This window comes from Homo sapiens, chromosome 16 (assembly GCF_000001405.40).
Source record: "Homo sapiens chromosome 16, GRCh38.p14 Primary Assembly".
NCBI classification, from domain to species: domain Eukaryota; kingdom Metazoa; phylum Chordata; class Mammalia; order Primates; family Hominidae; genus Homo; species Homo sapiens.
This window is the reverse complement of record NC_000016.10, coordinates 13190626-13204645: the sequence shown is the minus strand read 5'-3', so window position 1 is coordinate 13204645 and position 14020 is coordinate 13190626. Positions and strand designations below refer to the sequence as shown.

Here is a 14020-nt window from a genome sequence, read left to right as displayed (position 1 = left end):
CCGTAAATACTTAAATCCTGAAGAGCAGAAGTTGCCTGGGATAGGAACGTGCATTGTTTACCAACTTCTTAGAAATGGGATGGACTTTGTAGGTGAAGGGTGTTACCCACTAAAGTATAAGGCATTTCTGGGATGGAGAGACCTAGATTCTATGTCAAGATTCCCTGAGGATCAGCTAGGGTAGATGGAGATGGTAAAGGGGTTAAAGTGTCAGTGGGACCAAATGAGCATCCAGGTTCTTCTCCCCAGGAAATAGCCCTCACCGCACATGTGCCCCTCGCCCAGCCACCCTGCCTCACACAGCAATGTAGAACTTGTTCTAGGTCAGAGAAAGCAGCTGAGGGTCTCTGGTCCTTAGAAACCTGGGTCCCAGGTAGAGAGACCCAGAAGATGGGTAGATAGATAGATAGATAGATAGATAGATAGATAGATAGACAGACAGACAGATAATAGGTAGATAGAAAGATGATAGATAAATAGATAGATAGATAGATAGATAGATAGATAGATAATAGGTAGTTAGATGATAGATAATAGGTAGACAGATGATATAGATAGATAATAGATAAGTGGATAGGTAGATGGATAGAAGGATGGATGGATGGATGATAGATAGATAATACATAGGTAGGTAGATAGATGGATAAGTGAATAGGTGGATGGGTGGATGGATTGATAGATGATAGACAGACAGATGATAGGATAATAGGTAGATAGATTCAATAGATAATAGATAGGCAGATAAGTGAATAGTAGATGGATGGATGATGGATGGATGGATGGACAGACAGATAGATAATACATATGTAGGTAGGTAGATGGATAAGTGAATAGGTGGATGGATGAATGGATGGATAGAGTGTATAGGTGGATGGATGAATGAATGCATAGACAGACATAGATAGATATATAGATATACATATTTATAGACAGAGAGAGAACAAAAATGAGATAGAGGCAGAGAAAAGCAGAAAGAGAAAAAAAGAGAGCTAGAAAAAGGAATTAGGAAAGAAAACTGGAGATAAAGAGATCTACAAGAAGCAGCAAAGGAGAGCGAAGAGGAGAAAGAGAAAAAGATCCATCAGGTGGCACTTACCGACTGCCTTTAAGGAGGCGTACTTGTTGAGCTCTTTTCCTGGTGGCTGCTGTTCATAGGGGTTGGAGATCTGGCCCAGGTTCGGGTACGAATGTGGATGGCCCATCTGCTGGAGCAGAGGAGAGGTGGGCACTGCGTTGTTCATCTGGGTGGCATCTGGAAGTGAAGACACAGAAGGAGATTGTCACAGACAGGGCAGAACCATCTACCTTCCCTCCCATCACCACATCACTGGAGACCAAAACTCTCCCCACCCTTTAGGGACGCAAGTCGCAAAACAGCAGAGGGTTCACAGATACATGGGACACAATTGAGTTCATAGTCTTCACTGGAGAGCAAATGAGGACAGGTGGGTGTTTTTCTGACATCATCTCAAAAGATGTGCTCAAAACATGTTAAACTAACATGTTAAGGTCCTTTCAGTAGAGAGGTTATTTTTGTCAATGAAATGATATTTGTATAAAAAGATGCCCAATCTCAGTAACAGTCAAAGAAATGGAAGTCAGAAGAACAATGAGAAGCCATTCCTTTGCCAACAGATTGGCAGATGTTAAAGGGATTGAAGGACATGAGTACTGGCAGAGATGCTGAGCACAGGGAGGCCTCTTAAAGCTGCTGGTGGACATGCAATTTCCTATATTTGCAGGAAGAAATCAGGCACTGAGTATTGAAATGTAAAGCGTATGTATATGTTGACTGAACAATACCACTTTTAGCAACTGAGCCTACAGAAATAAAAGCATCAGAATGTAAGGATATTTGTTCAGAGATGTTTTTGCACCATTATTTGTAAAAATGAAAACACATACACAGAAACAATCTGAGCTCATATCAATATGGGAATTCTTAAATGAATTATTATAATACATATGATGTACATAGTATGTACACATATGATGGAATATCTTTCAGGTGTTAGAAAAAATGAAGGAAAACTTGAACAGTTTCTTATGGTTTATATTGTTAAAGGGAAAAAAGGAAGCTTTAAAGGAAAGCAAATAGTATAGCATTTTTTGTTAAGTAATATAACCTATGTGTATATTTTTGCATACTACAAGTTTGCACAAGACACAAACAAATGTAAAGACAAACAAACTAAATATTGGCTGCTTGAAGGGAAATGAGATTCAAGGAAAGAGAGATTCAGGAAGGTTTTTCTGAGCTGAGATCTACAGGAAGGAGGGTTGTTATAATAGTTCAGTGTGGTGGAAGGTGGAAGATATGAGGGAGGGTATTTCAGGCAGAGGAAGCAGCATGAGCAAAAGCCGTGGAGCTGGATGGAACCCAACATGCTCAGCAACGGAAGGAATTGCCCTCTGAGCTCTGGCCATGCACAGCTAGAGAATACAGTGTAAGGAAACTGGAATGAGGTGGGGTTGGAGAGGGTGGCAGGACCCAGTGAACACTGGTAAGTGTCACCATCTTCATCCTGAGAGCAATGGGATGGATAGACAGGAGGCGAGACCCAAATGGGAATGGGTCTCGCCTCCTGTCTATCCATCCCATCACTGGGAGATAATGATGGCTCACTTTGAGGTGGAAAGTATGGGTTCCCTCTGGCTTCATGAAGCATGTGTGTCCATCCAGGTATGCACTGCGGTGGTTGCCAGTGGTGCCTTGAAAGATCCCCTTTATCTAGTATGTGAACCCATTTCCCAGCTGCTGCAAATGTTGGCTGCTAACAGCTCACAGCTGCCTTCAATACCCAGAGAATTGCTCTTGGCTGATAGGAGCCACTGCCCTGGGGTCAATATGCTTCACACACCTCATCCTCAAGTGGTCAGCAACCAATGTCCCGCTGACACTGAAGTCCAAAGACCAGCCCCTTGCCTCAACATGGGGATAACTTTATGAAATGATGATACTTCAGAGTTCACATGGACTGGGACAAGTTTAGAGTAGGAGTCGGGAAACTTTTTCTGTAAAGGGCCAGGTAGTAAGCATTTTAGACTACATAGGCCATCAGTCTCTGCTTTGACTATTCAACTCTGCCTTTGTAGCATGAATGCAGCCCTAGACAGAAGACAGTTGACTCTTTGTATCCACAGGTTCTACACCCTTGGATTCAGCCAACTGTGAATTGAAAATACCCAGAAAAAAATTAAAAATAACAATACAATAGTTAAAAATAATACAAGTAAAAATACAGTGTAACAACTATTTACATAACATCTGTGTTGTACTAGTATTATAAGTAATCTAGAGATGACTTAAAGTATATGAGAGGATGTGAGTAGGTTATATGCAAATACTATGCCATTTTTTTATAAGGGACTTCAGCATCTGTTGATATTGGTATCCTTGGAGGGTCCTGAAACCAAATCCCCATGGATACCGTGGGACAACTACATAAATGGGTGTGGCTGTGTTCCAATAAAACTTTATTTACAAAAACAGGTGGTACCAAGTTTGACCCAAGGGCTATAGTTTGACAACCCCTGAATCTGGACTTTACTTGGAGCCCCATTTTTGTGTGGCTCCCTAACCTTTCCTACACTGCTTCCCTCATAACCTTAGAGGTGTGTGTTTATTTGTTACCTGAAGAACACTCCCTCAAAGTCACATGCATCTGAACCCCTTTCCCAGGCTTTGCTTTTAGATAACTCAACCCCTGATGCATACGGAAAATGTGTGGCTTTAGAAACCAACAAACCCAAATGGAAACAGGCAGAGATACCCTAGCTGAGGCATGAGGTTAGGGACAGTATTTTTATCACTTTACCTGCATGGGCCATCACACAAGCCCAAGTGTTAAATGGGAATGTCGCCAAACATAAGTGCCAAGTAACCCAGTCTTTGGCCAACGTCTGGAGAGACGCATGTATCCTTCTACCACGATAGCTTTTTGGCCGAGATTCAGCTGCGATGGGAGAGTCCCAGGATTAATAAAGTAACAGTAGAAAAGGTGTTGATAAGGTATGGCTTTCACCACACCTTGGAGCCCAAGATCCTCTGACATTCTCCTCTCCAAAGCCAACCCACCAGGGTTCCTGTCTGCTTCCCCTGGGCATGTCAGGCCAGCCATGTTTTGTTCCCAAGTATTGGTCCTGTGGGAAATGGCTTACTGTTAAGTTCTCATTGTATGCTGCTGCTGCTGCTGCTGCTGCTGTGTGTGTGTGTGTGTGTGTGTGTGTGTGTGTTTCATGATATATTTTTTGGTGGATAGCTACTGTTTTTGTGCAAAGTCCTTATCTTAGTGACTTCCGGGGAAACACAAACTAAGACAGTTACCGTGATTGGCAGCTCATCACACAACTCAAGTGGCGATAAAGGATAAAGAAACATACCAAAGGACTTAAATGCAAGCATATTTGGCAGGTGATCTCAGGAAATACTTGTAGCAAAAGGATGGGGGAGTTAGAGAACAAGAAGAAGCAAATAAAGTGCAATGCCAAGCAAGATGCAATGTGGTCGACTGGAGTTTAATCCCACTCTGGAATTCTGGTAAATCGTATTGAATGCATGCCTCAAAATTATGTCACCCCAAGGGCAAAGGACCCCTTAGTATTTACACACAAACTCCTATTAGTCATTGGTTGAGAGCTGCTTCCGGGAGATGTTAATTCGTTAGCACTGGCAACTTCCCATGTTCACAGGCAAAGCTAGCTCCAGTGGCCAGAGATACCCTCGCTCAGGGATGTAAGAGCTGGCAGTTGAAAAGCAGGTGAGTATGTGCCCAGCTAGCGAGGGCTCATTGTGCTATACAGTAATTCAGACCCCTGGCCATGGAAGCGAGCATGGAGCCTGAATCAAACCAATCCCAATACCTCCTTCTTATAATGATGATTGGACCAGAGGAGAGCATGTGATCTATGCTGGGCCAATCAGAGTTCTTCCATCTTCCATCAACTTTTCTACTTGGAACCATTGGAGTCAAACAACGAAAAGGCCATGAAGTCAAGTGAATTTGAACCTACCATGTGGAGAAAATCTTTCTTCATTATTAAAGAATAAGAATCACACCCACAGGAAAGCAGCTGAGGAGAGAGAGAAGCCCCTTTCTAAAGAGTGTTTTTTGTGGCTCCTGGCTCCTGCCACTTGCAATGTAGAGTTCTGACTAAGGCAATTGTTGTCTGGATTTCCTCTGGGAAGCTGAAACTGACCAGAGGGAAGGCTGTCCATGGGGCAAACCCAGGTATTGCCTCGAGATGGAAAATGCATTGCCCCTCAGTTTTCTACAGAGCTACAGCAGAAATTTCAAACAACAATTTGGCTGACTCGTGCATAGAGCGTGCCCAAGGACATTAGTAAGCTAACTAATGTCTCAATGGTAGGCCCCCCTACCCCTGGAAATACATCCCAAACACTAGACTGTCTAATTAAAGATTTGAACCTTCAAAGCCTATTATCCTCCAGTATAAGTCCTTTCTCTCATCTGTTTGATCCGTCAGTCTCAGACTCAACCTACTAGGCTCAAACCCTGTGTCCAGGTCTGCCAGAGAAAATACTAAACACTTCGTTAAAGAAAAAAAATAATTCTACAGAGATGTTCCTCACTGAATATGTTGGGACACACTTTTATATTATTAAACAGAATACATGATATTCCATTATAAAGTATTTGCTTTTAGATTATTTATCCCAAGTCCTGAGACACCTCAGGGGCAGTGAGTAGTTACTTAATATAAGTAGACACAACCATAATACCCCACCAAAGCGATCCCTCTCAAAAGAAGTGACACCATCCAGAAGGTGCATTTCCAGTTTCACATTAAGAACCACATAAAGCAAATTTCTGGCAGTTTTAGATAGCCATTTTGTGCTAGCTTCCAGGCACTGAATATTCAGAAATATTAAAATCCAGTTTCAGGGCAACAAACAAAATTTATTAAACAGACATTTGTGACTAGGTTTTCTAAATGTCATTTTCTTTTCACTGGACAGGAAGATAGAGACCAGACCTGGCAACCCAGTTGCTTTGTGAGTTTTCCACAAATATATTCAGCTAGGGAGGAGAAACAAAAAAAAATGCAGATTGGAGATAAGCCCAGGTTGGAATCCAAGAAAACTAGAACAATAGGGTGAGTGAAAAAATGCAGCATGAATGAGATCTAGGTTATAATCTGCAAATCCTGCCCTTGCCAAGTTGAGAGAAGAAATATGCATGTGTGTACGTGTGTGTATATATGTATGTATGCATATGTACATACACATACAAGTATATATGTATGCATATGTACATACACATACAAGTATATATGTATGCATATACACACAAGTATATATGTATGCATATACACACAAGTATATATGTATGCATATACACACAAGTATATATGTATGCATATACACACAAGTATATATGTATGCATATACACACAAGTATATATGTATGCATATACACACATATATTAATTTTTTTTTTGAGATGGAGTCTCACTCTGTCGCCCAGACTGGAGTGCAGTGGAGTGGTGTCAGCTCACTGTGACCTCCGCCTCCCAGGTTCAAGTGATTCTCCTGCCTCAGCCTCCCAAGTAGCTGGGATTACAGGCATGTGCCACCAAGCCCGGCTAATTTTTGTGTTTTTAGTAGAGAAGGGGCTTCTCCATGTTGGCCAGGCTGGTCTTGAACTCCTGACCTCAGGTGATCTGCCCGCCTTGGCCTCCCAAAGTGCTGGGCTTACAGACATGAGCCACCTCGCCCGGCCCGCATATATAATTTCTTTTCCACAGTCATAGCAATAGATGGAATCCAGTAACATGTCTCACTCTCAGAAGTTCCCTTCTAGACATTCCCCATCCCCAGAGATATCTTACCCACCTCTGTGGAAAGGTACTCCTTATCCAATGCCACAAGAAAATTCCCCCCTCCACCCATTATAAGCGCAACTCATTACGACCCTTCGAAATAATGAATGAAGACTTGCCCTTCTGTGATGCTGTTTTTCCATGCAGACCCTTGGTCCACAAACGACAAATTGATGGTGTCCTGTGCTCTCCTTCCTAAGACAGAGAAGGAGCCTCGTATATCCAACAATCGTCTTCAAAGAAGGTTAAGATACAATTACTCATTGGAAGCATCTGGCAGACTTGCGCCAAGGTAACTACCGTGTAACTCCTGTTGTTGTGTGGGATATCTTAGTTACTAAACAGGGAAATAAAACGGATGCAACTCAGAGCCACTTAAGGTAAAAATGCTCAGTTATAAATACTGAGAGAATGCTCCAAGTCTCTCCATGCAGAAGAGACAAATATTAACTGTCAGAAACTAGACCATTCTGGCTCATCTTAAAGGAAAGACAACATAATGACTCCTTCAAAGCATATCCCAAGGAGGAATAGCCCAGAAAGGCACTAGATGGTCAAATAGTGTTGTTTTGTCGAGCACACACCGTGTTCCAGACAGTAGGAAAAGAGCTTCTCATGTTATCTCTCTCTCTCTCTCTCTCTCTCTATATATATATACACATATATGTGTGTGTGTGTGTGTGTGTGTGTGTGTGTGTATGTACAGAGAGAGAGATACAGTTTCACTCTGTCACCCAGGCTGGAGTGCAGTGGCATGATCTCAGCTCACTGCAATCTCCACCTCCCAGGTTCAAGTGATCCTCCCATCTCAGCCTCCGAGTAGCTGGATTACAGGTGTGAACCACCATGTCCGGCTAATGTTTGTATTTTTAGTGGAGATATGGTTTCGCCATGTTGGCCAGGCTGGTCCTGAACTCCTGACCTCAGGTGACCTGCCTGCCTCAGTCTCCCAAAGTGCTGGGATTACAGGCGTAAGCCACCGCTCCTGGCCTCAAACAATAAATTTTTTAAACAAACTCTTTACTATGAAACGGTTTTAGATTTACAAAAGTACTGCAAAGATAGTACAGAGAGTTCCTGTATCCTCCAGACCCAGTTTCCCTATTATTAACATATTAGTGTGGTATATTTGTCACAGTGAATGAATCAATTTTGATATGTTACTATTAACTAAAGCCCACACTTTATTTGAGTTTCCTTAGTTTTTACCTAATGTCCATCTTTTCTGTTTCAAAATATCTAGGTACCATATTAAACTTAGAATTTAGTCATATCTCTTTAGATTCCTCTTGCGTGTGACAGTTTCTCAGACTTTCCCTGTTTTGATGACTTTGACAGTTTTGAGGGGTACAGGGTCAGATATCTTGTAGAATGGACTTTTTTTTTTCTTTCTTTTTTTTTTTTTTGAGACGGAGTCTCGCTCTGTCGCCCAGGCTGGAGTGCAGTGGTGCAATCTCGGCTCACTGCAAGCTCCGCCTCCTGGGTTCACGCCATTCTCCTGCCTCAGCCTCCCGAGTAGCTGGAACTACAGGCACGCGCCACCTCGCCCAGCTAATTTTTTGTATTTTTAGTAGAGACGGGGTTTCACCGTCTTAGCCAGGATGGTCTCAATCTCCTGACCTCGTGATCCGCCCACCTCAGCCTCTCAAAGTGCTGGGATTACAGGCGTGAGCCACCACACCTGGCCTTTTTTTTTTTTTTTTTTTTTTTTTTTTGAGAGAGAGTCTTGCTCTGTCCCCCAGGCTGGAGTGCAGTGGTGCAATCTCAGCTCGCTGCAGCCTCTGCCTCCCGGGTTCAAGCGATTCTCCTGCCTCAGCCTCCCGAGTAGCTGGCACCACAGGCACACACCACCACACCTGGCTAATTTTTTTATTTTTAGTAGAGACAGGGTTTCACCATGTTGGCCAAGCTGATCTTGAACTCCTGACCTCAGGTGATCTGCCTGCCTCAGCCTCCTAAAGTGTTGAGATTACAGGCGTGAGCCACCACGCCTGGCCAAACGGAATTTGTCTCATATTTTTCTCATGATTAGATTGGGGTTATGGGTTTGGGAGTGAGGGGAATCACTGAGGTAAAGTGACATTCTCATAACATAGCAAAAATATGTACTATAATGACTCATCGCTATTGATGTTAAACTATTGCCTGGCTTAGGAAGTGTTGGACAGATTTCTCCTCTATAAAATTATTCTATTTTCCCCTTTTTTCACATTTTACTCTTTGGAAAGAAGTCACTGTGTGCCATTCACACCGTATCTAAGGAGTAGGGGTTATGCTCTACCTCCTTGAGTGGAAGAAATATCTACATAAACTATTTGGAATTATTCCTCATGGAAGATTTGTCTCTTCTTCCTCATTTATGTATTGATTCAATCATGTATTCATATCAGTGTAGACACATGGATATGTATTTTATACCTTGGGTTATAATCCACTACCACTTTATTTTGTTTTGTTGCTCAGATTGTTCCAAATTTGGGAATCGGAAACTATTTCAATTGTCTCCTTTGACAGATTCCCCTCATTTTTAAACTTTCTAACTTTCTGGCAATACAAGATTCCCCAGGCTCATCTTGTATAGATTTGTTATCCTGGTCCAAGAATCAACCATTTCTTCAAGGAGCCTGGTTCATTTTATTGGAGAATAATATTAGAAACCAAAATCTAGGTGCCAGGTGTGCTGGTTTTTTCTACTCCCTCTATGCTGACAAGGTAAGGGAATTTAGATATGTATGCTAATATATGTATATACACACATATCTACAAAAATTTACAGAAGCAACTATCCGTGTCTATATTGACCTAAGCATGAAGTCATCCTGATGTCTCCAACTCTAACTCACTGTCAGATGAATCATTCTAGCTTCCTCCCTCGATTATCTGTAACCTCCCACTCCAAGAATAATAAACCTGGCTCCCATTATCCACCATCCATTTGTTACTTGTTCAATTCCAGTACATAATTATAGCAATATCAGAATTGTTAACCCATATCCTCATGGGACACAACTTTATCAACTAGAACACAGTGCTTATGGACTATGTATTTTTTAAGTTTTTAATGTGTTTTTCTCTTCTTGTCTTCCTGAGTGTGTGGGCTTGGCTCTGGATGGCCCATGACTTCCATATGCCTGGGTAGGGTTGAGGAATTGAGATTTATTACAGAAGTAACACAAAAAATGATGATATTGATAATGATGAGGAAGGTGAAGACACACTTGTATACATAATAAACATAAAGGGGTTATGAGGTACCCCACACTATTCCATATACTAGCTAATCGAATTATCCCAGGCATCCTTATGAGATACTATTATCAACTCCATTTTGTAGAGGAGAAAACCAAGGCACAGAGAGGTTTGGCCCAAAGTTACATCACTGGAAACAGCAGAGCCAAGCTTTGAACCTGACAGTCTGACTCTAGAATCTGTGGACTTAGGCACTTCCTTATTGCTGCTGAAGGAGGTAATATTCAAATCTCTAACATTCAGAAATGATTTGGCAGCCAGACAGTAATACAATGTGAAGTCACGCACATTTGGAAGACATTTGTCTTTGGAAGGTGTTTTGTTCTAATTTTTTTTTTTAATCTCCACCTTTCGGCATATTAAGGACCGCACTTGGTTGGCAAGACCACAGGATTTTTACAAGAATGGACCAGAGAGGAATGGGATGGGATGTCTGACTCCTCCAGTTCTTGGGGGGATGTGAGAAGGAAAAGAAAGAGAGAGGAGGAAGACTAAGATCATGTCACCGACTTTCCCTCTTTGGGTTTCAGATGCAGGGTAGGGGAGGAATGTTGGATGAGTTGTGGGAAATGCTTGAGGCAGGAGTCTCTTGTCCTGCTTCCTCTGAGACTCTAGCAGGAGCTCATAGTGAAGCTCTGAGCTGTCACAGGGCAGCTGAGCCAGTTAAGAAACAGAGGGATATAATCTAACCAAAAGGTTGCCTGGTTGGCACTCCCCAATAACTCTGAGATACCAGATACCCCAAGAGCTGGGGTCTTACCACAGAACCTGCCACTATGGGGCAATGGGCCCTACACAGTTGTGTGGACTGGGTTTCCTTCCACTTCATTCTCCCTCCTTTCTCTCCTAAGCAGATGGTTATCACAGGCTAACTCAGACAAAAGTCATGTGCTCAGAAAGGCCAAATTGGCCAGGCGCGGTGGCTCATGCCTGTAATCACAGCACTTTGGGAGTCCAAGGCGGGTGGATCACCTGAGGTCAGGAGTTCGAGACCAGCCTGACCAACATGGAGAAACTCCATCTCTACTAAAAAATACAAAAATTAGCCGGGCATGGTAGCTGTAATACCAGCTACTCGGGAGGCTGAGGCAGGAGAATCGCTTGAACCCAGGAGGCAGAGGTCACAGTGAGCTGAGATTATGCCACTGTGCTCCAGCCTGAGCAACAGAGCAAGACTCCATCTAAAAAATAAAAAGGCCAAATAAAAAGGAAAAGGCACATTAACCATGTAAAAACAACTTTCCCTCACATCTCTTAAGTTAAACCATCCTATTTTACAAACAAGGAAACCAAAGCTCAGAGAGGTTGAGTGCCCAAAGCCACACAGCATGTTATAACAGTATCAGGATTTGATGTCAAGGTTGTCTGTTGGCAAAACTAATGTTTCCTTCACCAAGCTAGGCTGCCCCCAGAATGGATCAAGAAGAGCCTGGAAGTTCAGCATTGAACCACGCATTGAACCACCTCTGTGGACAGAAACTTCCTTCTGTCTTGAATAACTTCCTTCTTCCTGCAAAATTTCCCAGTCAGATGAGAAAACTGCTGGCCAGATCTATGCTTTTTTGTTTCTTCTTCTCCTTCTTCTTCTTTTCCTCCTCCTCCTTCTTCTTCTTCCTCTTCCTCCTCTTCTTCCTCCTCTTCTCCTCCTCCTCCTTCTTTCTTCTTCTTCTCTTTTTTTTGAGATGGAGTCTTGCTCTGTAGCCCAGACTGAAGTGCAATGGTGCTATCTCAGCTCACTGCAACCTCCACCTCTGGGGTTTAAGTGATTGTCCTGCTTCAGCCTCCCAAGTAGCTGGGACCACAGGTGCGTGCCACCACGCCCGGGTAATTTTTTGTATTTTTAGCAGAGATGGGGTTTCACCGTGTTAGTCAGGATGGTCTCGATCTCCTGACCTCGTGATCCACCCGCCTCGGCCTGTTTCTTCTATCCAGAGAACAGAACTTACTGTTCTATGCAGATAATAAACAAGTTTCCTCCCAAATTAGAAATACCCTGCTTCCTGGTGGAACCTACCTATGTGCTTGCCTCTTCAGCTTGGTTCATCCATCCATTCTTCCTCACATATTTTAGTGTCTATGGTGTTCCAGGCATTGTGCTTGGTTAACGATTCCCAGCTCTTATACCACTTACTAAAGAATTTCATAAAATTTTTCCAAAGCTTTCTTTTTCAAATTTTATTTTATTTTAGATACATATTTGTGCATATTTGTTACATGGGCATATTATATAAAGGTCAGGGTCGGGGTCCTAGTGTAGCCATCACCCAAATAGTGAACATTGTACCTGAAAGGTAATCTTCAACACTCACTCCTTTCCCATCCACCTCCCTTTTGCAGTCCCTAGTATCTGTGATTTCCATCTTCATGTCCCTGCATACTTACTGTTTAGCTCCCATCCATAAGTGAGAACATGCAGTATTTTATTTTCTGTTTCTGAGTTAGTTCACTTAGAAAAATGGCCTCCAGCTCCATCCATGTTGCTGCAAAGGACATGATTTCATTCTTTTTCATGGCTGCATAGAATTCCATAGTGTGTATATACCACATTTTCTTTATCCAGTCAACTGTTGATGAGCACATCAACAGTTTCCAACCCTCACTCCTTCCACTTCATTGGTTCCATAACTTTGCTATTGTGAATAGTGCTGCGATGAACATACAAGTACTGGTGTCTTTTTTGTATAAAATTCTACTAAAGCTTTCAATACTCAAGAGGGACCATGCTTTTGCCTAGCCCATGAGGCCACACTGGTCCTGCCCAGGGACATTCTTCATCTCCACTGTTTGCAACACACCTTCTATACCCTATGATGTGGCCTCAGCCATCTCTCTCTCCACAGACAGCACGATCCAGGACAACATAATGAAATAAGAATGGAGTTTTTAGTCAGTCCATTTTGGACTCAAATTTTTGCTCTTCCACTTACCAACAGCATCTTTGGGTGTCTTATAAAGCCTATATAAGCCTCAGTCTTCTAAGCTCTAAATTGGGACCATAACAGCTTCCTCATGGGGTCACTGTGAGGTTCAAATACATTATGATCATCATGCTTAGCAACGCACTGAAACATAGTAAGCACCCAACATATGGTAGCTAAAGCTTGCTTGATTGCCTCCAATTGTTTAGAAAGCCAAGACAACATAACAGGTGGCCATGAGGAAAAGAGGATGTTAGGTTTCCATAAGGTCCTCTCTGGGCTCAGAATTCTTGGACATAGTCTAGATTGTTCCATTGCCTCAAAACCAGACTAATGACAGGGAATGGGCAGGAGATGTCCCTGCTGGGGCCAATTGCACTAGTTAGTCTCATAAGAACAAAAAAGGAGAATAGACATTCAGAAATCAGAACAGAGCTCTGGCTTTTAGCACTGTTTTTCTTTCTAACCTTTCCAAATCTTTATGCCAGCAACCTTTTTGAGGGAAATCCTTAAAATTATGGTTTGAAATACCATGTAGGTTTTTTTCTGTCCACAAGCAAGGAAAAAAGAAGTATCCAATCCAACTCAAAATTACCCTGAATTTGTCAAAAGAGAATATAGCAGCCTAGGCTTACATCAGAAAAGGTTTATGTAGAAGGAGAATTGAATCTTTTTGAATCTTGGTGGCAGAGAGACCAGCAGGAATTTGCAATAAAGAAAAAAAAACACATATATAATCATAAAACCTTTGGAAAATGAGGCATTGGTGTTACCCAAGAGTTTATATGTTTGAGCATGAAAACTTAAAAAAAAAATTTGAACCATTTAGGATGGAAATATTTTAAAACTAGAGTTGTTAAATATTTATTTAATGCTCACTTTCAGCCAGTTTTTATGCAGGCTCTGGGGGACAGAGATTCATTTCAAAATCCCGGTTGTGCTGCAAATAGATAACAGTCTAGGGTAGGAGGCAGATCCGCAGCATGGCGGGATACATGAAGAACTAGTTG

The 14020-nt window shown here is 42.2% G+C and overlaps 1 protein-coding gene and 1 long non-coding RNA gene across 7 annotated transcripts in view; one reads left to right on the top strand and one right to left on the bottom strand.

The window, feature by feature from the left end:
• The window catches only part of SHISA9 (shisa family member 9), a 661420-nt gene that overhangs the window by 358372 nt on the left and 289028 nt on the right, over positions 1-14020 (bottom strand). For all 6 annotated transcript variants that reach the window (XR_932915.3, XR_007064905.1, XM_011522642.3 and 3 more), the window contains exon 3: positions 1097-1252. Coding sequence is in view for 4 of the 6 variants with exons in the window: in XM_011522642.3 (XP_011520944.1) it covers positions 1097-1252 (156 nt within the window). In the remaining 2 variants the exon portion in view is untranslated. The remainder of the gene's footprint in view (positions 1-1096; positions 1253-14020) is intronic.
• LOC105371091 (uncharacterized) lies at positions 1361-7055 on the top strand. Its single transcript, XR_933092.3, has 3 exons — positions 1361-1445; positions 5981-6117; positions 6991-7055. It is a non-coding gene; the product is annotated as an uncharacterized LOC105371091 (long non-coding RNA).